Source organism: Homo sapiens, chromosome 5 (genome assembly GCF_000001405.40).
Source record: "Homo sapiens chromosome 5, GRCh38.p14 Primary Assembly".
NCBI lineage: Eukaryota > Metazoa > Chordata > Mammalia > Primates > Hominidae > Homo > Homo sapiens.
Genome location: NC_000005.10, coordinates 15,821,050 through 15,845,743, shown reverse-complemented (window position 1 = coordinate 15,845,743; position 24,694 = coordinate 15,821,050). Strand labels below are relative to the sequence as shown.

At 39.1% G+C, this 24,694-nt stretch overlaps 1 protein-coding gene across 5 annotated transcripts in view; it reads right to left on the bottom strand.

Annotated features, from left to right (window-relative positions):
- FBXL7 (F-box and leucine rich repeat protein 7) overlaps positions 1–24,694 on the bottom strand; it is a 439,614-nt gene that overhangs the window by 94,050 nt on the left and 320,870 nt on the right. The window contains exon 2 of one of the 5 annotated variants that reach the window (XM_011513998.2): positions 10,891–10,967. The exons of the other annotated variants lie outside the window; for them this stretch is intronic. The gene's annotated coding sequence lies outside the window, so the exon portion shown is untranslated. The remainder of the gene's footprint in view (positions 1–10,890; positions 10,968–24,694) is intronic. 5 annotated transcript variants of the gene reach the window in all.

The window sequence follows — 24,694 nt, the reverse complement described above, 5'->3', positions numbered from 1 at the left end:
CACCTTGGCCTCCCAAAGTGCTGGGATTACAGGCATGAGCCACCACACCCAGCCTCTGTATTTTTAAATTCAATTTTGTAATAAATAATCTTTGATTTTATCATTAAAAAGAAGTTAAGTAATGATATAATGTTTAATCTACTTTTAATATGAAACATGGCATTTTGCTGTATCTTAATTATTTGAATATTATCATTTTAATATTTAACAGATATTTATTTAGCAATATGAGCTCCTTCCAATTATTTATACTAGATGGGTTAGTCCTAATTTTCTCAGCTTGTAAGAGGAGGTAAAAGTATGTTACTTGGCTAGGGGTCAGGGGTTGGTTAGTATGTAAAGGGGAACTATAACCTTGACACTTAAAATCCTATCAGAACATCTATTTTACATGTCACCCATCAATGGGAACTTATTGAATGCATTCAAGTTGTATTTGGCTGGTATGTGCAGAAAGACAAACTAGAAACAGTCAATTCACCGCATCAGAAGAGTACACAGAAATAACCATTACCAGCATAAGGAAATTGTCCAAATGTGTGCTTCCTCAAGTTGAAAGAAACCATTTCTCAGAAGGAAGAATTTTCACCCAGCAGTTAAATCAGAGGGATCAACACAATTGGGTACTAACTTGTGCAAGGCAGAAGAGAAAGTGGGAAGCAGTCCCAGGCTGCAGGATGGCTTCATGTCTGGAAGCACAGCACAGAAGGCCGATGGCTAAGCTGGAGGCTGAGACGTGTCCTATGCAAAGAAGGACAGATTTGGAGGCCACAGTGGCTTAAGGAAAAGTTGTTTCTTATAGGGTGCTTGGCCATTGAGCTTTCTTATATTCATGACTCTTAGCTATTTCTGAAGTCTGTTTTTAGGGAGAGGATGCAGGAGTGGTCTGTGAATGATTGAGATTTATCCCTTGTACAGAAATATTGTCATTTTTTTTTTCTGTGGAAGCATGGGTTCCCTGTCAAGCACACCTGCCTTGGCTTCCTCCCTGAGGCTCTATCATGTTTCCTAAGGTAGACACTCCCTTCATAGTGTTGGGTTTTCTCTCACACTCCCACCTGTATCCTCCTCTTGGGTTTGAGTGATGCTCTCCAGAGGGGTAAGACACTGGGGGCTGTGGCCCCATAATCCTTCCTGACTTCTGACCATTCATCTTCATGTAGCTGCATTATCCTGCATACTCTATACTCAGCTATGCTCTACCGATCATGAGAGATGGCCTGGCCACCCCACCTGGTTTTCTTTCCCTGCTCCACAGGAAGAATTGGAAAGAAGCCTGGGGAACTGTCCAGCAGTGCCAAGAGCTGCCGTGCAGGATTAGGAACAGGACAGGCTTCAGAATATTACTGCTGTGTATTTGGAGCCACTCAAGCCCAACTCCTCTCACAGTGGGTTTTCACGGGGGGCATCTCTGGAAAGAAGGAGAGGCTTGCTTCAGCAGCTAAGTGGAAGCAGACCTCCGATGTAAGCAGTGGAGGTAATACTTCCCCTTCCCTGGCACTTGAATGGAAAAGATTGAAGCAAAATGAAAGGCCAATCTGTATGCAATTAAATGCTTCTACTGGCAATTGCTTTTCCTTCCCCTGCTAAAAAAGCAGACATCCAAATTTCCCACCTTCTTAGTGTGTCCCCCCTCCTGTGCTAAATTGCCACAGTTGGGAGTAGCGTCTTCAGGCAGTTACTGGCAAGAATAGATGCATCAAAGGAATGAAGATTTTTGTTTTTGCTTTTAACTTAAAAAAAAGGCACTTCTCTAGAGATGTAGTTACTAAGCTTTTTAGCTTAATCTTTAGAAACTATACATATATATTTAGAAACTATATATTCTATACTATATATAGTTTCTAAATATATAGCTTTATATGTAAATATAAAGCTTAAATATATATAGTATAGCTTAATACACATATTAAGCTATATATTTAGGAACTATATTGCTGCTCCTGTGTGTAGATTCTTCATTAAAGATTATTCATCTGACACCTTCTTGGGTTTTAAATTAGCTTTAAGATTTTAAAATTTCAATGAAACCTGACAATAAAATCACAATTATTCAGTAATTTGCAATATGTCTCAAATTCTTAGAAATTTTAGAGATTTTAAAGTCCTCTTTTAAACTGCATTCATCAGATATTGCAATTTGAGAAGAGCAATTTATGGACATTTATTATTCGTCTTCTGAACACTACTGTTCTTTGCATTCTTAGACTATGGGGCTTCATGCATAGTTTTAATTCCATGATCACTCAACCAAACAGAAGGAAAGATTCATATTTTCAATTTTATTCATTCGAATATTTACTAAATTCATACTGTGTGGCAGGAATACAGCAGTGAAAAACAGAGGTGAAATCTATGACCTTGTGAAGCTTTCATTTAGACAGGAAAGCCAGAAAGACTACACGCCAATAAGCAAATGTGTGTGTGTGCTGTGGTGAAAGGGTTATGAAGAACCAGAGGGGGTAATAAGGAGAGAAAAATGGGAGTTTATTTTATACTGTGTATGTTAGAAGAAGAGAAGAATACACTTTGACAAAGGCAAAAGCTTATATGCTCATCATTTTATATTAGCATATACAAATATCTTAACACTATACATATGTAGAAAATTTGAGGAAATAAACAAGAGAGATAGAAATTTCCTGAAAATTATATAGAGAATCACCTAAAAACATAAGCCTGATATAAAGATGTTTCAAAATATAACCTGTTATTTGTATACAACCTCGTATTTGTACATTTGTATATAACCTTATATTTGTAGCAAAGGTAAAACTTTGCCAATGATAGGTAGTAATAAAATGTGGTACAGCTTTGTATTATTCTGTTCTCCTCCTGCTAAAAAAGACATAATCAAGACTGGGTAATTTAAATTTATAAAGAAAGGAGATTTAATTGACTCACAGTTCCACGTAGCTGGGAGGCCTCACAATCATGGTGGAAGGCAAATGAGCAAAATAACGTCTTACATAGTGGCAAACAAGAGCTTGTGCAGGGGAACTTCTATTTATAAAACCATCAGATATTGTGAGATTTAATCACTACAATGAGAACAATATGGAGGAAACTGCCTCCATGATTCTATTATCTCCACCTGGCCCCACCCTTAACATGAGGGCATTATTACAGTTCAAGGTGAGATTTGGGTGGGGACACATCCAAACCATATCATTACACCCTGGGACCCTCCCAAATCTCATGTCCTCACATTTCAAAACCAATCATGCCTTCCCAACAGTCACCCAAAGTCTTAACTCATTTCAGCATTAACTCAAAAGTCTCATCTGAGACAAGGCAAGTCCCTTCCACCTATGAGCCTGTAAATTCGAAAGAAAGTTAGTTACTTCCCACGTACAATGTGGGTACAGGTATTGGGTGAATACGCCCTTTCCAAATGGAAGAAATTGGCCAAAATGAAGCGGCTATAGGTCCCATGCAAGTCTGATGTCCAATAGGGCAGTCATTAAATCTTCAAGTTCCAAAATGATCTCCTTTGACTCTATATCCCACATCCAGGTCATGCTGATGCAAGAGGTGGGCTGCCACAACCTTGGGCAGATTGGTCCCTGTGGTTTTGCAGGGTTCAGCCCCCCTCCCAGCTGCTTTCACTGATGGCGTTGAGTGTCTGTGGCTTTTCCAGGCACACGGTGCAAGCTGTTGGTGGATCTACCACTCTGGGTTCTGGAGGATGGTTTCCCTCTTATCACAGCTCCACTAAGCAGTGCCCCAGTGGGGATGTGGTGTTGGGTCTCCAATCCCACATTTCCCTTCTGCACTGCCCTAGCAGAGGTTCTCTATGAGGGCTCCGCCCCTGAAACAGACCTCTGCCTGGACATCCAGGTGTTTCCATACATCCTCTGAAATCTAGACAAAGGTTCCCAAACCTCAATTCTTGATATGTGTGCACCTGCAGGACCAACACCATGTGGAAGCTGCAAAGGCTTGGGGCTTGCCTCCTCTGAAGCCACAGCCCCAGCCTTACATTGGCCCCTTTCAGCTACAGCTGGAGTGGCTGGGACACTGGGCACCAAGTCCCTAGGCTGCACACAGCAAGGGGTCCCTGGACCTGGCCCAGGAAACCATTTTTCCCTCATAGGGAAAATGTATTTTACTCTGTAAAATACAAAGTAGTTCAAGCAAGGGATACAAACTTTAATATATCATGATGTTGGGACATATTTCAGGAATGCAAGAAGGTGGTTCAACATCAGAAATCGACCACTGCAAGCTACCAGGTTACCAGGTTAAAATGAGAAAAAAAAAATGAACATCTTTCTGGATTCTGCTGAAAGATTCAACAAAATTCATTTTTTTCTATTTATGTTTTTTATTTCATTATTCTATTATAAAACACTCATTTATAATAGAAACTCTTAGCAAACTATAAATGGAGGGACATTTTAAAACTGAGATTTATTCCCAACTGCTAACATAGGTCAAATTTAATAGGGAAACTTTGGCATTTCTATGAACCAGAAACAAAAAATGATTCTCATATCATTCTGACTATTCAACATTATACTAGAAATTCCAACCACTACCAAAAAAACCAACCAGCAAAACAAACAAAAACAAGAAAAAAAGAAGTTAATAGTATAAGAATTGGGAAAAAAAGAGCAAAGTTATACTAACTGATAAATGTCATTACTCTACACAAAAAAATTTCAAGGGTAACTATAGATAAACTTTTGGAACTAATGGGAAAGTTCTATAGTGTTGTCAGATACAAGACACACAAAAGCCAGTGACATTGCTATAGGCCTTAATTGACTAGTAAGTGTGATAAAAAGTATAAACACATGATAATAAAATTTACTAAATGCCTATGAGTATCTATATCAAAAATATTACAAAATGTTACTTAACAATCTATAACTTTTTTTTTTTTTTTTTTTTTTGAGACAGAGTCTTGCTCTGTTGCCAGGCTGGAGTGCAGTGGCGTGATCTCAGCTTACTGCAACGTCCACCTCCTGGGTTCAAGCGATTCTCCTGCCTCAGCCTCCCAAGTAGCTGAGACTACAAGCGCGTGCCACCGTGCCCAGCTAATTTTTGTATTTTTAGTAGAGACGGGGTTTCACCACGCTGGCCAGGATGGTCTCCATCCCTTGACCTCGTGATCCACCTGGCTCGGCCTCCCAAAGTGCTGGGATTACAGGCCACTGTGCCCGGTCAATAATCTATTATTAAATAGCAATATTTATCATATTCGAGGCAGAAAATGTTCAATATCATAATGGTGTTAATCTTCTCCAAATTATTCCATAAATTCAACTGACCACAAATCAAAATCCCAATGAAATTATCTGTGGAACTTGACAAACTGATTCCAAAATTCATATGAAAGAGTAAAGCTAAGCTCTATTCTTAACTTGGAAAAGAATGAGGAGGAGGGGTTTTTACTAACAGGTGTCATAACTTACTACTGAGTTTGAGTAAATAAGACTGTGTGATATTGGCAGAGGGATAGAAAAATAGATCAGTGAGACAGAATAAAAAGCACATAAAAAAGACTTTTCAAGGCACACTTGAAGGTTTTTCCTTTGCAGCCTGAGGTCTTCTAGGATATTTACATTGTGACACTTTCTCCGAGGAAAGACTGGGATGGAACAAATGTCAGTATTGCTCCTACAGCATGTACTTGAAAGCTTAGGTCATTTCAGCCTAAGAAATAATTTATAAAAATGCAACAAGAGAAGGACATAAAGACAGAAGATATCCTACAGAAATTTTATATTTTACTCTGGACAAAAATGGTTTATTCATAGCCCAAGTAAAAAAATAAAAGTTGTAACTAAATGTAATCAATGTAACCATTTAGTTGTAAAAGAGTAAGCAGATTTTTCTTCTTTTATTAAGCAGTCACCCTGTTGGGGTAAAACACTGCAACTCTCCTTCCAAAAGTGGGGGGCTTGGATCTACTTGAGCATTGGGAGAAAAAGAAGGACAGGGAGGAGAGGTAGGAGTAAGAGGAAGAGGAAGAGGAGAAAAAGAAAAGGAGGAGGAAGAGAAATAAGAGAAATGATCTTATTAAATAAATATTAAATCTAGTGTAGCCTAAATGTAACGCCTTTATTACTATTTTGTTAGTAAATAAATAAAAGAGAACAAATATCAACAACAAAAAATATCCATTTGGTTGTTCTTAGTGCATTAAATATTCATTTCACCATTCATTAGAATGAACCAATACATTGATCAGGGCACATACAGAAGTTTGGAATAAAATAAAAGAAGCACTAGAATTCAATGGAAAAAAAGATATATGCAATATTTAGTAATGACAATCTGGTTCCCCATATAAAAAAAATCAGATAGATTGCTATATTTTATCGTACAATGAATAAACTCTAAATAGACTAAAGACCTAAATACAAAGAACAAAATTTTATAATTTTAGAATAAAATACTTGAGAGTGTCTCCTTGATGTCAGGGGAGAGAATTATTTTTAAAAGGAACACAAAAAGCAGAAATCACAAAATGATAGATAAATTTGACTACATGAAAATTAAAATCTTTGTATGACAAAGAACACGAATGAAAGATAAGTTATGAAAAGGAGAAAGAAATTAGAAAATTGTATGATAGTCAAAAAATTAGTACTCAGAATCTAAGTACTAACAGTAGGATTCCTACAAATTGGAAAAAAAAAAAAGATGACCCAACAGAAAAATGGGTAAAGTGTATGAAGAAGCAGTCCATAGCAGAGGAAACTTGAGTGGAACTGCAATGCATGAAAAGGTTTTAAAAACAAACAAGCAAAACCAAATACATAATTATAGTAATTTAGTGGCAGTTACTGTTATAAATACATCTATAGATAGAGCCATACTTAGAATTTAGGGCAAAATATAATGTAAAGATAACAACTTTAAAGTCATTAATTTTCAAGTAGTTCAAACTCTCAGTGTGCACTAGAAAGGGATGTGTGAGATAAACACAGGGCCCAGGGAGACTCCCCAGGGAAGAAGAGCATTTTGAATGGGTAGTTAAGGAGGAAGAGATGTCAATAAAGGAAGACAGCCTTAGTCGTGGGAGTAGAGAAAGACCAAGAAATCAAGGGTAAAAGAAGGAGGAGGTAGGGTCATCAGTGCCAAATACAGCTGAAATATGCATTGATATAAAGAAACAAATCCTTGCAGATCTTTTACATTCAGCAACGAGGATGCTCAATATCCGTCTAGGGTGTGCTTATCTAAATCCCTAATGTGGTGCTATAGACTGAATGTTGTGTTACCACAAAAATTCTTATGTTGAAATCCTAACCCCCAATGTTATGGCATTAGGAGGTGGGGTGCCTGGGAGGTGATTAGGTCATGAGGGTGGAGCACTCATGAGTGGGATTAGTGCTCTTATAAAAGAGACCCCTCGCATCTTCCACAATATGAGGACACAATGAGATGATGGCCATCTATGAGGAATTGAGCTGTTACTAGGCACTGAACCTGCCAACGCTTCAATCTAGGGTTCTCCAGCCTCTAGAACTGTACAATGTAAATTTCTGTTGTTTATAAGCCAGCCATCTTGTGGCTTATATGGCACTTTGTTATAGCAGCCTGAATGGACTAAAACAGAGGACTGAGCTGCCTGGGACAACCTGGAGCCTCATCCATCCACATCTCCCACTTGGACACCAACATACTGAACTCTGACTAGAGTAAGGGGACAGTCCTGCAGTATGACACCACACCAGACAACAGTCCTCTTGCTCCATGGCCTAACAACCCAACTCCACAGAAGCAGCTTCAAAATGTCAGGAGAAATGATTATATCTCTTTTGCTCCTGAACAAAACTTATTTATCCATTTATAGTTCTGTATTGTGCTGAGTGATTAAGTTTCAAAACTCTCTCTAAAAATAAATGCTACTGCTGATCTGAGAGAAACATAAATGACCACTGAGAACAGAGTTTCAACGAGCCCAGAGAACTGAAGCTGTCAGATGCAGACCTCACATTCCTTTCTCTCCACCAAGTTATTTTCAAGGACAATGCACTATGTTCATGGTCTTTGACTAACTTGACCTCTGGCTGCCATCCTTGGCTCTCATAATATCTTAACACTAAACATACTAAGAATTTTTTTAAATGGGAAGTGATTAGATAATAAATTATCTACAGAGGGTGGTCTAAATGAGCTCTATCTAGAATTTGGCTCAATTTTACTTTGCTGGATTCAATCTAAGCACGCTTTTCCTAAATGCCAATTGTAACCAGACATAAATGTCTTGTTAAAACAAGTTTATCATCACTAAACTTAACTGTAGTCTCTGATTAGCTCTTTAGAGCCTAAATAAGGCATATTTATGGTTGCTTTTTTTCCTCTTGATGGTATGTCAGCTACATATGGGAAAAACTGTATGGCTCAGATCCCTTAAAATGCTTTAGAATTTCTTCTATGAACTTTGAAAGAACAAGTGTCATGTTTAATTTTATCCTATATATGCAGTTAAAGATCAATTAAAAGTATTTACCTGCTTTATGAAAGGATTAAGATTCTCTTTAAGTTTCTAATATAAAGCAAGTATCCAACTTCATGAGAGACTATCATTTACATTTCAATTAATGTTGGCTTTTCACATTTGAGTGTTATAATGGCTTTAGTCTGAATTGGGCAAGTGCTCTAGACTTGTCACTAAAGTATTAGGGATCTTGCTGTCATAGATTAATGAGTGACACAATATTTCAGCCATATACTATGTAATTCTATCTAATTCTGGATATTTGTCTGCTGGACACGAGGGAGGGGACTAAAAACACAAAGTCTGGATGCTTCACTGCTTACTTATAAGTGAAGTAGCAGAAGATGCCAACAGCTAACAAGAGGGGTCTTGCCTGGAGAAAGGGTGACGACACAGCTGATGGCTAATTTATCCCATTTCTCTTGATAAGGTTTGTCACTAAGGTTCCATCATAATATATGATGTGGATGGCCACAGCATTTTGTTGACAGGAGGCTGAAACCTGACACAGGCCAGTCACATTACCCTCTGCTCCTAAACTTGAAGAGTACCTCTGACTAAATGGGGCATACTGCATCACACATTCTGGCCTCCTATTGCCTCCCGAACTCAGTTCTTGTTACTGTTCTTTTCCAACTTGTTCTAGTGAATTGCTCCTCACTGTTCTTCAAACAGACGAGGCACACTCCCACCTAGAAGCTTGACACTACCTGTCTAGACTGTTCTGATCACAAATATCTACACGGCTCACTCCCTCACCTCATGCAAATCTTTATTCCAACATTACCTTCCTGATGAGGTTTACCTAGGGCATCTTATTTCAAACTGTAAACTGTTTCCCTGCTACCCTGATCTTCCCAATCTCTCTTAACATGATCTAGTTTTTCTTTTTCTTTTTGTTCTGTATAGCTCTCATCACCTTTCAAAATACTATATAATTTGTCTCATTTTTCATGTTTCTTATTGTCCGTCTTCCTTCGTTAGAGCCCAGAAAAGCAGAAATCTTTCTTTTGTTGACTGACATATCCCAAAGCTTTCAAAACAATTTCTGGCACATAGTAAGTGTACAATAAGTATTTGACAGATGAATAAGAGTGAATGAAGGAACCTGATAGAATATGGTACAATGATAAGATACAAGAACCATGAAAGGCAGAGACCATCTGAATTTTGTTTACCCTGACATCCTCGACATCTAGGACAGTGCCCAGGAATTCTACTTTTTGAATGAGTAAAAAAGCAAATAAATGTTATTGGGAAGGAGGAGGGTTCCTATAACCTATCTAAGTATTAGTGGAAAAATAAATTATTTTGACCAGGCTGGAGGTACTCCTGTGTCTAAAATCCTGCCCAGAGTTCTTTAGCTTCCTGCAGATCATAAAATTACCCAGGATGCCACAAGACATATAGTTTTTTTAGTTACTTGAGAACTTCAAAGGACTACAACTTAACAGAAAGTCCTAACACAAGTGACAGTGCCTCTTATGCAAAGCAAAAGCACATGAAGATGATTTTTGTCCTGTAACAGAAATGCTTGGGATTCCATTGCAGTCACTGTCCAGTGTTATTTTCTTGAGTGGTAATAGGAGATGCCCAGCTTTAGAGTCAGACCTGCATCAGATGGCCTTCATGTTCTATACTGCGTGACTCTCAGAAAGTCACTTACATTCTCCAGGCCCCTATTTCTCATATTTTAAAGTAATATCCACTCTTCCAGGATACTGTGAAGCTGAGAAGCATGTGTCAAGTAAAACGCTTAGTAGACATTCAAAAAAAGTCACTCTGCTCTGCCCTCTGTGACCTTTCTAAACATGATTCTAATGGTTCCATTCTAATATTGGTTCTTAAAAATTCTATCGCATATTATAATTGCATAATAATGTATAATTTCATATTATAATTCTAAATAAGATTTTGTTTTTCTCATTCAAGGTCTAATTATCAGACCACTTTCTTCTCTTAATTTCTTCTTGCATTTTGCATTGGTGCTACATAGAAGAAAAATGCCATAAGAAATGGAGTTAAAGTACCGGCCATTTCATTTCTTTCCTCAGTTCAAAACCTGCTGGTGATAGCCAAGAGTGGTTATTCATGCTGAGTTCCTTAAAAATTATAGCATTCATCAGAATATTTACTAAAAGGGCAGAGCAATGATTCACAAATCACCCACTATTTACATTGGCAAGAAGCTAATGGTGTATATCCCTGATAAGTCATGACTTGATTACTAAGCAAAAGTAACCATTAAAATATGAAACTGTAGTTTACAAGAGTAGCCCAGCTCATTACTTGGAAGGATTTCCTACTGATATGTGATTAACACATAGCTTCTGGAATTAAAGGATAAGCAATTCAGCAACCAATGAATTTGCTAAATTTTTTGTTGCCTACTTAGGTCTTTAACAATACCATTTGCAGGATGTAAATCTTACTGAGAAAGGAGCACTTCTGTAATCTGCATACTCCCAGAAGTCTAGGTTTTCAGCCTCAAGGCTACAAAACAGGCATGCTGAAAGAAAAGGAAATGAGAGCATGAAAGCATTAAGAACTTTGTCAGGTTCACACAGCTTCTACGTGGCAGAGTTGTGATATGAACTTCTTGAAGAGAAGCCAGTTAAGGCCACGGGATTTATAATCAGAAAGATGTGCATTTAAGATTGTCTGGAGAGCTTCTCCTCTATCGGGTTCAGAGAAACAATACTTTTATCCCTTTTATGTATGTGTCTTTCATGGAAGATGGAGATCCACTGAAAAAAAGAAAGCTACCTATGCCAAAGAATAATTTTCAAAGTTTAAAAACATGACCCTTATATAAATAGAGAAAACTGGTGTAAAAATACTCTTTAACACCTTAATGAGGGAGCCAACCAGATGAATATGCTGATTCAAAAGTGCATAAGAAGAATATATAGGCAGAGAAGAAAAAAATTTGGAATAAGATTTCTGGGTGAGATACAAAATTGGACAAAAATCTGCATATTAACATGTAACATCACATAATCTAGGCTTTCAGTTAATAGTAATTGGTGATTAAAACAAAGTTACGTTCCCTAGATAAGCGTACAGCCCTTAGGTGGATTTGTTAACCAGTGTTCCACCTATATGATATTGAAATGACATGCTGCCCTCTGTTTGCCTAATTTCCAAGTTTTGGATAACTTTTCTTAACTCCTGGTAAGCATTTTTCTGGAAAAAGAAAATACACTAACAAATACAATAATGTTTTATTTACAGATGGCTCTATAGTTCAACATTTTATAGTTTACACAATTGCCTAGATGGTAAAAAGAGCACCTGGATGTTTCTGATGCAACTTCTTATGACTGTTATATTCTAAGAGTAGAAATCAGATCTTCCCTATATAAAATTGTTACTTAAATATGTGTTTCAAATGAAAATGCTTATTTTTGTCAAAGTAGTCAATATCATCACGAAAATTTTAGAATGTCCATGCCCTTCCTCTTAAACAGTACTGAAAAGCCAGTGCAAGAAAGGGAAAGTGATGGACTGAAGGTGATATTCCCAACCTGGATAGAAAGACAAACAAGCATCCTTCCAGTGTTACAACCTCTCTTAGCTTGAATATGGGTCTCCGTGCATCACACAGAAAAACGGCAAAGCCTTGCCCCATCAGCTAATAACAAGGTTGAGGGTAAATCTGGAAAGACTTGTCTTGTGTGACTATTGCTTTAGAGAGGAGAGTCTTGTTCCATGTTTGCTGAAATTAAATCATCAGGGAAGATACTGGAGCTGTTCTGCCTCAGCAAAGCTGAGTAAATAACGCACTCTGGGACTGCTCTAATCTCACTGTTTGTGTCCCCATAAAATTCATATGTTGAAATTTCACTAATCTAATACCATCACTAATCGGTGATGGTATTAGAAAATGGTGCCTTTGGAAAGTGATTAGGTTATGAGGGCTCTGACCTCATGAATGAGACGAGTGCCCTTATCAAAGAGACCCCAGAGAGCTTTCCTGTCCTTCCACCATGTGAGGACACAGCAAGAAGGTGCCATCTCTCAGCCAGAGACTGAGCCCTACTGGGACCTTGATCATGGACTCCCCACCTTCCAGAACTATAAGAAGTAGATTTCTGTTGTTTATAAGTGTATTAGTCCGCTTTCATTCTGCTGATAAAGACATACCCGAGACTGACGCAATTTACAAAAGAAAGAGGTTTAATCAATTCACAGTTCCACATGGCTGGGGAGGCTTCACAATCATGGTGGAAGGTGAAAGCCATGTCTCATATGAGGGCAGACAAGAGAAGAGAACTTGTGCAGGAAAACTGCCCTTTATAAAACCATCAGATATCATGAGGCTTATTCACTATCATGAGAATAGCATGGGAAAGACCCGCCCCTATGGTTAAATTACCTCCCACCGGGTCCTTTCCACAACATGTGGGAATTGTAGGAGCTACAATTTAAGATGAGATTTGGGTGGGGACACAGCCAAATCATATCAAAAAGCCACCTAGTTTATGGTATTTTGTTATAGGCAGCCCAAAAGGACTAAGACAAAGGCTCTCTTTGAATTTCTGTCTCAATCATCCCGACCTGCAGAATGAAGCCCTCTGAGATCTCTTATTGCCTTGGTTCCTCTCTGTCTTTGGATAAAGAGAGTTTCTACAAACTCAATGTTGTTTGTCACCAAAGTGTCTGCATCAGCTTTCCTTCTTCTACTGATAGCCACTTGCAAAACCTCCTTAAACTAGCTGTTTTCGAGATGGTTAACTCAAATGCCTTGTATTAAGAAGGTTCAGTTGAACCTGAGATGAAATCAAGATGTTTTTAGTCACATTTCTGGTAATTATTCCACAGTCTGTTACCTTTGAATATATAACTTCACACGGAGGTCTGACAAACTGGTATTTGTTAAGGAACAAATCACTCCCTTGCTTGATTTATTCCCTAGTGAGTGTCATTTCTAGGATTTGTAAAAACAAGCTTTAAACAGATGTAACAAAATAATATTTCATGATATTACAAGGCTGCTATTCGCAAAGATTACTTGCTTCTATATCTTTTTTCTCTGCTACTGAGGCAGCATAAATAGCTTCCTCCATGTACTGCCCTCAGGGAAAGGGTGATACAAGGAGAGCTTCAAAACAAGCTCTCGAAAGTCTTAGTAGAAACAAGACTCTTTAAAGCCAGAATAATCTAAATTCATTAGAAAGGTCCGGGACTTCCCAGATGTGTAGGTTCCATTAACCAGAGTCTAAATAAAGTATTTAGAGTAGAGAGTTTATAGCACAAATGCTGGAGATCAGGAGGAAGCAGTTAAGACCAGTGGCTGCTTTCTTACCCTGAAGGCCAGCGATGGGAAGGACTTCCCATCCTTGGAAGAGGGCTTGAGGGGTGTGGACAGAGCAAGGGCCATGGGCAATGGGAGGGCATGGTGGTTTTACAAAGGGGCAAGTCACAACCTGGGGCTGCCATGGGTGCAGATAGGTGTCTATTGTCTTCATTCCGAAAGAAAAGATGCTGTCCATGTCCCCTTCTCATATCCTGCCCCTTCCCTCCCCTCCACTATCCCTCCAGAATTTACACCACTTTCTGAAAAGGGGAATTTTCTCTCCATGCTCCATGAGAGCAGCCTGGAGTTCTCCAACAATGTTTCCCAGAGTGCGTTTCACAGAACACAGTCTGTGGAAAACAGACCTCTTGGCTCACCCTGCACATTAGCCAATTAAAGCTTTTATAAGAGTTCTGTGCTTAACAGGGTCATGTCCTAGTGTTTCCCCACAGCACTGGACCATAGAAATCCATTAAACACAGACACCTCTTTCCCGGGAATCATACTGACGCCCTGTGAGGCTAGCTAGCTGTTGTGTGAATGGCACTTTGGAGACCACCAGGCCAGGTCCTCGGCTATGCGGTCAGTGTGCCCTGGGTTTGCCTCCTGTTCCAGGTCTTCCCCAAATAGGGAGAATACCACTTAGTATCACTGGAGGTATCAGGAGAGACTGTGCCATGTAAAATGCAGAAACTGGCATGTCGTAAGATCTGAAAAATGCCTTGTCTACTCCCTTTCCCACCTCTTCTCAGATACCTGAGACAAAACAATCGCAAATTCCCTTCACAAGCTACTTATTCCATCATGCAAGGGGTGAGGTTATAGGCAGTTTGAGAAGACTGCTGCAGTCCCAAGAGTCACAATGATAGCAGCAGCAGTTCATGAGTGATGCCAGTTAACCTTGTAAGTGCTGTATTTTCATCAAAGGCATGGATGATAAGGACGCCATTGGGTTTCACATTTTGTCCTCAGATTCAGAGAAAGAACTAGACTCCAGGACTGAGGCCTTGCTGCTTGAGACTCTCCAGATGTAATAATTGGAGGAAACTAGACTCTAAGGGTAAAAAGAACAAGGGGAGGGAATCTGCCCTCGGGTGGGCAATGGGCAGCTCCAGGGAGAGGATTTGGAGTTGAGCCTGAGTGCTGGGACTGGGTGCTGCCCTGGCATCCCCACTCCCCTCCACCATCTTCTCTCCCTTTGGGCACAGTCAATAGGGAGCAAAACTGGCCTCAAGGTCAACATGTGACTAATAAACATAAATCAGAAAAGGTTCAACCTCACTAATAATGCAAGATATGTGTAATAATTAAAATAAGCTGCACTTTGGGAACAGTGGTGGGCCCCAGTCTGGTGGCGCCTGAGGTTTGTACAACTTGAGGGTCTCCTCTAAAGTTGGAGAAGAAAGAGATTGAAGTCTTACCTGATTGTGTTAAAAATGTCTAACCTTTGCAAAATTTTCCGTGTGTGTGTGTGTGTGTGTGTGTGTGTGTGTGTGTGTGTTTTAGATGGAGTCTCACTCTGTCGCCCAGGCTAGAGTATAGTGGCATGATCTCGGCTCACTGCAACCTCTGCCTCCCAGGTTCCAGTGATTCTCCAGCCTTGGCCTCCTGAGTAGCTGGGATTACAGGCGTGTGCCACCATGCCCAGTTAATTTTTGTATTTTTAGTAGAGATGGGGTTTTACCATGTGGGCCAGGCTGGTCTCGAACTCCTGACCTCAAGTGATCTGCCCGCCTTGGCCTCCCAAAGTGCTGGGGTTACAGGTGTGAGCCACCACGCCCAGCCACCTTGCTAAGTTTTCAAAAACCTATGTGAATACATTTCCAAGACCTTGGAAGGACCCAGGTTTGGGGAAGGGATGAGGTTGGGGAGCTGAAGTTTAAGTCTCAGTGGCTTCAGAATAAATGCAGCTTTGCTGGGGAGAGTTTGAAACAGGGGGAGATCTGGGCAAAAAACGTGCTAAATGAGTTTTTCTTTGCTCATTTGTCATCACAACATGTAATTCTCTGGGTACGTCTCAAGATGTAAATGATTCGGATTTCAGTTTTATTTTAAATTACCCAAATTATTATACTGTACTAGAGAAGACAGAAAACCTGAAGGCAATCACTTCTCAGGATCTTTACAAAGGAAATATCCAAGTGTCACACCTTATTATTTTAATAACAAAATGGTGATATATTAAAAGCAAATCTTGATGTTCAACTTTTCAAAGTTATGATCCCACTGCAGAATGATAATTAATATTCTTTACTTTCAGGAGCACTTTTAGGAAAATACAGACTGAGTGAGGACAGGCAAACTTATATGCCGGGTGGTGAATTTTAAAGCAAAGAAAGCCAATGCTATTAAGATGAAAATAATTGCGTATGATTTTGAATCTTAAAGCATTACCATATGTTACTTGGAACTCCCAACATTAGAAAAAATGTAGGAATGGAAAAAAAGTCTGTTTCATTTTTAACCATTTATTTCTTGAGATGATATTGGACCATGCTTTGTTTGTTTTTATAATTTCAACTTTTATTTTGCATGCAGAGGGTACATATAGAACATGGTTTTAAAATGCACATCAATAGCAGCTTCAGCTTTTCATAATTATAAGAAGACTTATTTAAAAATTCTATAGTATTTTTGCAGTTACAAATTTCCAGGGACTAACGGCAAACAAACAACAAATAAAAACAAAAGAAGCTGTAACCAATGAGCTGCAAAAACCACCACCACCACCACCACAAAGACAATTACTGTAGAAGACAAGGATAAAAATGAAGACTTAAGATGACTCTGAAGGTTGAAGGGTTAATTCAGGGTCACTATTAAATAAGAATATGAAAATCCATTGTCACTTAATTATCTGGTTTATGCAACCTGAGAACTCAAGCTATATTAAAAACCTAATAATGCGGGGCAGTGACCTGGGCTTCAGTAGATCATGAATCTTTCACCATTCAAATTAAGGGTGCGTTACTAACACTGATCTTTTTGCATGCTTCACTTCAGCTATTTAATTAAAAATGCCAATAGCCTAAAGGCCAGATAACTTTTCAGAAATCAAAAAATGTTAGCATTTGTTGCCCTGTCTTCAATCTGTTTCTCAGATCCACTGAAGTTGTTTCCTGTAGGTTGACAAATGATCTGGCAAACACTATGTATGAATTATATCCAGACTGGCCATATTCTGGATATCAACTATATCTAAGATTTCTACCAAATTCTGTTCAGCCTTTCCAACGTAACACGGCAAGTCAGGGAGAGACTAAACCTAAAAGTCCTTCCTTGGCACTGAAGGTCGGCTGGATCCCCAGAACTTTAAATCTTTGGGTCTCCCAGAGTTCCTGATTCATTTTCAGGTGCCTTTCACCTTGTTACCTGAGCCTACAGTGCAGAGTCAAGAAGCCATCTCAGAAGGTGTTCAATTAATAGAGAAGGCTCCCAGCTGGAGGGGATTTATATGTTCTATTCAGTTAATGAAAACAACCCTTTAAAAGCTATATTTGAAAAATTCAACTAGGGTTCATTCATTCATTCAACTTAAGATTGCCAGATTAAATACAAGACACTCAGTGAAACCGGAATTTCATGTAATAAATTATTTCTTAGTACAAGTGTGTCCCAAATAATGCATGAGATATATTTATACTAAAGAAATACTATGTCATTTTCTTAAAAATCGAATTTATCTGGGTGTTATATATCTTTATTTGCTAAGTCTGGCAATTCTAACTCAATCTTATACTAATAATAGCCAGCAACAATACCTACATAGCACTGACTACACTTGGCACTTAAAATGTTTGATGTGTTTTTAATTCTTGCAACAACCTCATAAGATAGGTATTATTTCCATTTTTCAGGTATGATGTGAAACTGGAAGCACAGAGGAATCAAACAAACATTGTCTTATGAAATTCAGTATCTTCCACCTGAATGCCTAAAGCCTGGATGGTTGCCTATCTTGCAGAGATGGGCAGGGCCAAGGTTTTCCACAGAAAACAGTTCTGAGCTGCTTGAACATAAGGACAAATGCTTGATCAAGGTCCTTAACAATTTTTGGCATGGAGTGTTGTTGTATAATTGTAGCCTGGAAAATATTCACAGCAGGTGTTACCAATTGCCCTCATAAGGATATTGAATTTTAAGAAATTAAATTCTGGGTGAGTCTTCCAAGATAAACTGGCTGCAACGCATGCCTCTTAGTAGCAGCCATGGTTTGAATGTTTGCCTCTTCCCAGACTCACAGTGAGATCTGATTGCCATTATAATGGTATAGGGAGAGGAGACCTTTGAGTGGTGATTGGGCTGTGAGGGCTCTGTCCTCCAGAATGGATTAATGTCGTTATCATGGAGTGGATTCATTGGTAAGTTCAGACCCCTTTCTCTCTTTCTCTCACTCTGCTGCCTTTCGCCATATGATGACATATCAAGAAGGCCCTCACCAGATACTGGTATCTTGATATTGAACTTCCCAGACTAAAGAACTTTGAACCAATAAATTTGTTTATGATAAATTACTCATTCTCAAACATTCTGTTATAGAAGAACAAAGTCAACTAAAACAATAGCTGATGATTTGACCTGCTATTTGTTTGACATACGCTATTCAATTGAGCTCCAATGACCCCAAAAATGAAGATTTCTGTTTTAACATAATTTCATTTATTATGCACTTCCCATGTGTCAGATCTAGGAAAACCAAAGATACCTAAGGCAGAGATCGAAAAAAAACCAAACCAAAAAAACAAAACAGACAAAAAAAACCACATTGAGAGAATTTAAATGTAATATATTGAATGTTAGGATAGAGATACAGGCAGAATCTACACAAAGGCAGAGCAGAGCAGGGTGATGCATCTCCAAATTAAGGGGCTATAAGGATGTCTTTGTGGAGGAAATGATGGCTGAACTAAACCGTAAGGAATGAAAAAGTGTTCATGGGGCAGGAAGTGCGGAAGGTGATTGTAGGTGAAGAAAACAGAAAAATGGAGAGAACCTTGTCTCTCATCATCATTAGGTAGCTAGATCCATCATCCTTTGTGTAAATTTCTCGTGGAAAAAAAAAAAAGCCACAGGTACAGCCCAGAGGAGAATGTCTGGTTCTGTGCAATGTCAGGAGACTACGAGAAGGAGCACAGTTTTACTCTGTTATTTCAAGACTCTCCTCATTTTAACATTATTTTTGATAGTACTGAAATAGCCTAGGCATACGACTAGGTCTCAGGGTATGTTGCATGGAGCAAAGACAAAGTCACAGAAAATGTTGGTGCTGGCCAGGTGCGGTGGATCATGCGTGTAATCCCAGCACTTAGGGAGACTGAGGTGGGCAGATCACTTGAGGACAGGAGTTTGGGACCAGCCTGGCCAACATGGTGAAACCCCGTCTTTACTGAAAATACAAAAATTAGCTGGGCATAGTGGCAGGTGCCTGTAATCCCAGCTACCCAAGAGGCTGAGGCACAAGAATCACTAGAACCCGGGAGGTGGAGGTTGCAGTGAGCAGAGATCACGACACTGCACTCCAGCCTGGGTGACAGAGTGAGACTTTGTCTCAACAAAATAAAAAAAGAAAATGTTGCTGCTATCTTTCCTCATTCTGTACTTAAAAGATGGAATTCTACACCCTATAGACGCTATTTTCTCGAAGTACAAAAGTTTTTAAAGCTAAATACTTTCTCTGAGAGTTTCTCAACTTTAGACATTTAGCATTAGATAGGGAGTCTTTAAAATGTTTTCAAATGTGAACTCTCTCTAGTATTTTCATGTTAAGCTGTCGGTAAGGAGTGAAAATAAAGACTTCGAAAAGAACTGGAGCTGATGTTGGTTAGACATCCCAAAATATCACAAAAACGTTGGCTTCAATGTATTTAATTTTGCCCCTTAAGAGAAGTCTTATTCTAGGCCTGGTGCCTGTTACCTAGCGAAGAAATGTTGGCTGTGTCCTCAAACTTCCAACTCCCATCTCATAATTTTAAGTTCACAAAAAAATCTCCTTAAGGAAGCTTATAGGATATACTTCAGGCACAGGGCAATGAGCGCTAGCCCGGTAATCAATGAAACCCGGGTTTGCTCCTGGTTTTGTTTCTTACTTGGGCAAATCAAACCGTTGAGTTTCTCCTTTTCTTCCTCTCTAAAATAAGACAACTGAAGTTGACACTTAGTCTAAAGAATTCTAATGCTATAACTTGAGCTGTTAGATGGTATTACTTTTACCTGGTTGCATTTCAAATCTTTGGCAATTTAGAAAAACCATATGAGAACAGGGATAGTATCCAGGGAACAGATGACAATGCCTTCCACCCATCCTAATGTATAGGAATTTAGAAATTAAGAAACACTTAAAATAAAATTTCCATAGCTTTATATATTACAACAGAAGTGAGAATAATTAGTATTTCTGATACAAACATGACAGGTCTACTTTATTCAAACGCACAGGTGAGTTCTTTCTGTTGGCTAGAAGCTGGTGAAAACCTCTAACAATTCTAAATAAGCAAATTACAAAGTTGCTCTACTAATGAGTTGTAAGATCTATTTGATATTTTACAACAATGTATATGGTGTTTTAATGAATTGAGACCTTATATTCCATATAAAGTTTTTTTTTTCTTCCAAATAAAGATGGTTTTACTGTTTTACTGGACCAAGTTCAGATAATATTAACATTCCTGGACAAATTCCAAACTTTCTTTGGTTTTTAGTAATCATATAGGAATAAGAGTGACTACAACAGTTCTATTAATACATTTACTTCTGTCAGAAGCCGTATTAGCAAGCATAACAAGGAAACATAAGAAAATAAACACTGAAAATTGGACTTTTAAGGCATCCGTCATAGCTTATGGATTTTATTAACTAAATGCCAAAATAATTAAATTACTGTGAAATTTTTACTAAATGTTTATTATTTACTTTGGCTTAAAATAAAAAACCCATTGAGTTTATAATATCTCATGTTCCAAAATTAATATATTTGATTTACGAAAATAAAAACATATCGCAATGAATTAGGTTCACATCTGAAATTCACAGACTGGCTTTGACACTGCTTGTGCATTTTGGAAACTCTTCTAGCTTCTCAGAATCTTGGTTTCAAAACTGAAAAGATTGGCCTGACAATTTTAAAACTGTCTTCAAGCTATGAAAGTTTATGATTCAGGAAACAGCTTTCAAAAACTACTGAGAGGACCCTGAAACTCTTCTGCTAGATCGATTCCAAATATCTAGTGTAAAAAACATCCAGTGTTTTCCAACATGACTCAGTGGGTGAGACTGGGTTTTTTAAGACCAAGCAAAACCGATAAAGGAAGCTTAGAAGGTTTGTCTTCCATGAAAAAGAAAATTGCTATTGTCTTAAATAAACAGAAGGTATGTTTTCCTTTGAATTGCACTTAGCTTTTTAATAGCTAATTTCAGCTACAGAAAACCTTTTTTTTTTCTATTTTAATTAAGTTTTCAATCTGGAACTTTCTTGAGAAAGGCACTTTAGCAACTCTGAAGAACAGTAGAGGGCGCCACGGTCACAAGCAAAGCAAACAAACAAAAACGTTGGCATCACAGACTGGGCCGGGAAGTGCCGAGGAGTACACCTGAGAAAATAAGCCACAGTCAGGTAGGAACAACACATTTTCAAAATGCATTTGGGAAACTGCCAGTGAAAATGGTCCACGTTTTTCTCTTTTTTTTTTTTTTTTGAGACGGAGTCTTGCTCTGTTGCCCAGGCTGGAATGCAGTGGCGTGATCTCTGCCCACTGCAACCTCCTCCTCCCGGGTTCAAGCAATTCTCCTGCCTCAGCCTCCCGAGTAGCTGGGATTACAGGCACGTGCCACCACGCCCAGCTAATTTTTATATTTTTAGTAGAGACGGGGTTTCACCATGTTGGTCAGGCTGGTCTCGTTGGTCAGGCTGGTCTCGAACTCCTGACCTCAAGTGATCCGCCCGCCTCAGCCTCCCAAAGTGCTGGGATTACAGGCATGAGCCACTGTGCCCGGCTAAAATGGTTTACGTTTAATCTCAGCATCCATTTCCAGATCAAGTGCTAGGATTCTCGTTCTTGAATATTTTCTGGGGCATTTCATTCACTTCGGGACACTGTATTTGAAAGGGGAGACAATGCCAGGTCAAAGTGTGCTCAGGGCAGGTGGAACTGGAGGCAGAAAGAGGGTGGGTCTTTGAGGAGTCACTGAAGAGAGGCTGGGTCATTGAAGGCTAGAATCCTTGGAGTGGCATCTTTGTACATTTGAGATGGTCTCACGTGAGACATCAATACGGCTTGCTGGAGGGCACAGGTTTAGGGCAGATGAAACTCACAGGAGGGCAGGTCTGGGTTAACTGAGCTAAAGAGCTTTCAAGCCACTAGAGCAACAGAGCTGCCCACAGTTGAGTCAGATTAACCTGGGAAGCCTCCAAGTAATGGCTACCAGCACCACATTCACAGATCTCAAAATTTATGAAACTGATGAGAGGTTGGATTTGATAACTAAGAGTCTACAAATCTACAGCATTAATTACACTTGTCATTAGGTCAAATTACAGAGTCTGATTTTCTTCTAGGAAATATGTGTGAGATTACACATGCTTTGAAACATAAACCCATTATTTCCAAATGACAGGTTATAATGACTGTGATGAGCTCAGAGATTTGTTATTGAAACAAACTAATGATTATACTTGTTAAATTAAGTATGGGAATGATTAAAGAATTTGCTAATAGATATTCCCTGTTGACACACATTGGACTCAGTGGAGTGTCTGGTTATAATGTACATGTGTCTACTCATTCACAAATAAGCACATACACCCACAAAGACACTCACATTTATATGCAGAAAAATAGAAAACGGCTTATACGGCAACAGGCATTCCTCTTGTGAGGTACATCAGACCCGTCTAGTTATCACAAGAGGTAATGCAAATGCATTTAAAGGTTGATTCCTTGGGTTTGAATCCAGCCTTTATGTTTTATTGACTGCGGGGCCCTGGACAACTTAATTTATCTCAGTGGTCCCTGGAATGGTGGTATGGTCATAAGCATCACCTGGACACTTGCTAGAAATGCAGATTCTCAGGCCCCACTGTGGCCCTCCCAAATCAGAAAACCTGGTGGTGAGACCCAGAGATCTATTTCAACAAGCCTTCTAGGTGATTTACTATGCACGCTAACATCTGGGAACTCCTATTCTATCTCTGTGTGCCTTAGTGTCCTCATTCATAAAATGGGGGCAAATCAGGTTATTTTGAGATATGAGCTAACGCACATCTACAGTGATGAGAACAGTGCATGGTACCTGCTAAGCCATATGAAAGGGTGGGCTGATATTACTATACTAACCTTAACGCCCTGCAAGAAAAAAAAAAAAAAAAAAAGAGCAACCAGCTCAAATGTTCATCCGGTTTAGGAATAGACAAATGAGGAAAAGTGCTATTGGGCTAAGTACGATAATTAAAATAATGAGACCCACTGGAATGTGGAATGGAGAAATATCCAGGCTTCTTAATCCAGGGCTTACAAGAATTTCTAGGGAGGAAAGGCTGGTCAAGCTGCCCTGGAAAGCAGCCTGTTGCCCTCATTGCCTGAGTCTGCACACTCCACTTTTGCATGTTTCTTTTATGTTTTGTTTTGTTTTTGAGATGGAGTCGTGCTCTGTCACCCAGGCTGGAGTGCAATGGTGTGATCTCGGCTCACTGCAACCTCTGCCTCCTGGGTTCAAGCGATTCTCCTGCCTTAGCCTCCTGTGTAGCTGGGACTATAGGCACGTGCCACCAAACCCAGCCTATTTTTTTTTTTTTTTTGTATTTTTAGTAGAGATGGGCTTTCACCATGTTAGACAGGATGGTCTCGATCTCCTGACCTCGTGATTCGCCTGACTCAGCCTCCCAAAGTGCTGGGATTACAGGTGTGAGCCACCACACTGGGTCTCACTTTTGCATGTTTTAGGGGACATGATTTGGTTGAAAGCTAGTCCACACCAAACCCTACAGAAAATGGTTTTTACTGAGGCAGCAAACAGAGCTTGGTCTCAAATATTAGGCTCTCATGTCCACTCCCGAGATAGAAGTTAACTGGGAGCTTGGCAGTTCTTTGTAACTGAGAAATTAGAGATTAGCTAATTCAGGCACCATAAGGATAAGGGGGAAATGAGGACCTTGGAGATGTTCAGCTCATACTCCCAACAGCTCAGAAAAGTCCCTGCTGCTTTCTCCTTTGAGAGGAAGTAGAGCTTGGTGGGGATGAGTGAGGGCTCTGGAATTTCTTTACACTTAAAATCTGGAAAGTCTTTCATCTCAGATTTCCAAATGTGTAAGCCATGGATAGTGGTTATGGTGACAATTATATTACTTCCTCATAGAACTGTGAGCCTCAGATAAGAGAAAGAATAAACTGATAACCACCAAGCAAGTCCTTAATAGGCACTCACTGTTGCTGAATTATTGATTTTCACAGCTAAGTAAAATGATGTTCTGAGAGGTTAAGTAAATTGCCCAACATCCAACTGCCATTCAGCAGCAGGGGTGGAATTCCAAGCTGGGGCCACTGGCCTCTAGAATGAATGTCCTTCTCCCTGTGCGACGGGTTTTTGAGAGCTGTCATGTTACAGCAACCTAAGATTGGGCTCTCTCAGGAATTCTATGAGATGTAACTCACACACAATCATGTAATTAAAAAGAAATCTTCACAACAGGAAGACTGATGCTAATAACCTAAAAAAATTAATTTATAAAAAGATATTTCTAAAAAAATTATTTTATGAAAAGATATTTCTATACATTTTATGAAAAGGTAGTATAAGTAAAATGACTCCAGTTTGTGAAATTCCCAGTGATTTCTTACCTTTGGAAATAAACTCACAATAAAGCTATCTAACAAACCATTTACTGGGGACCTACCATGTGTCCGACTCTATTCAGTGGGATGGGGGAGCAAAGTTGAATAAGCGGT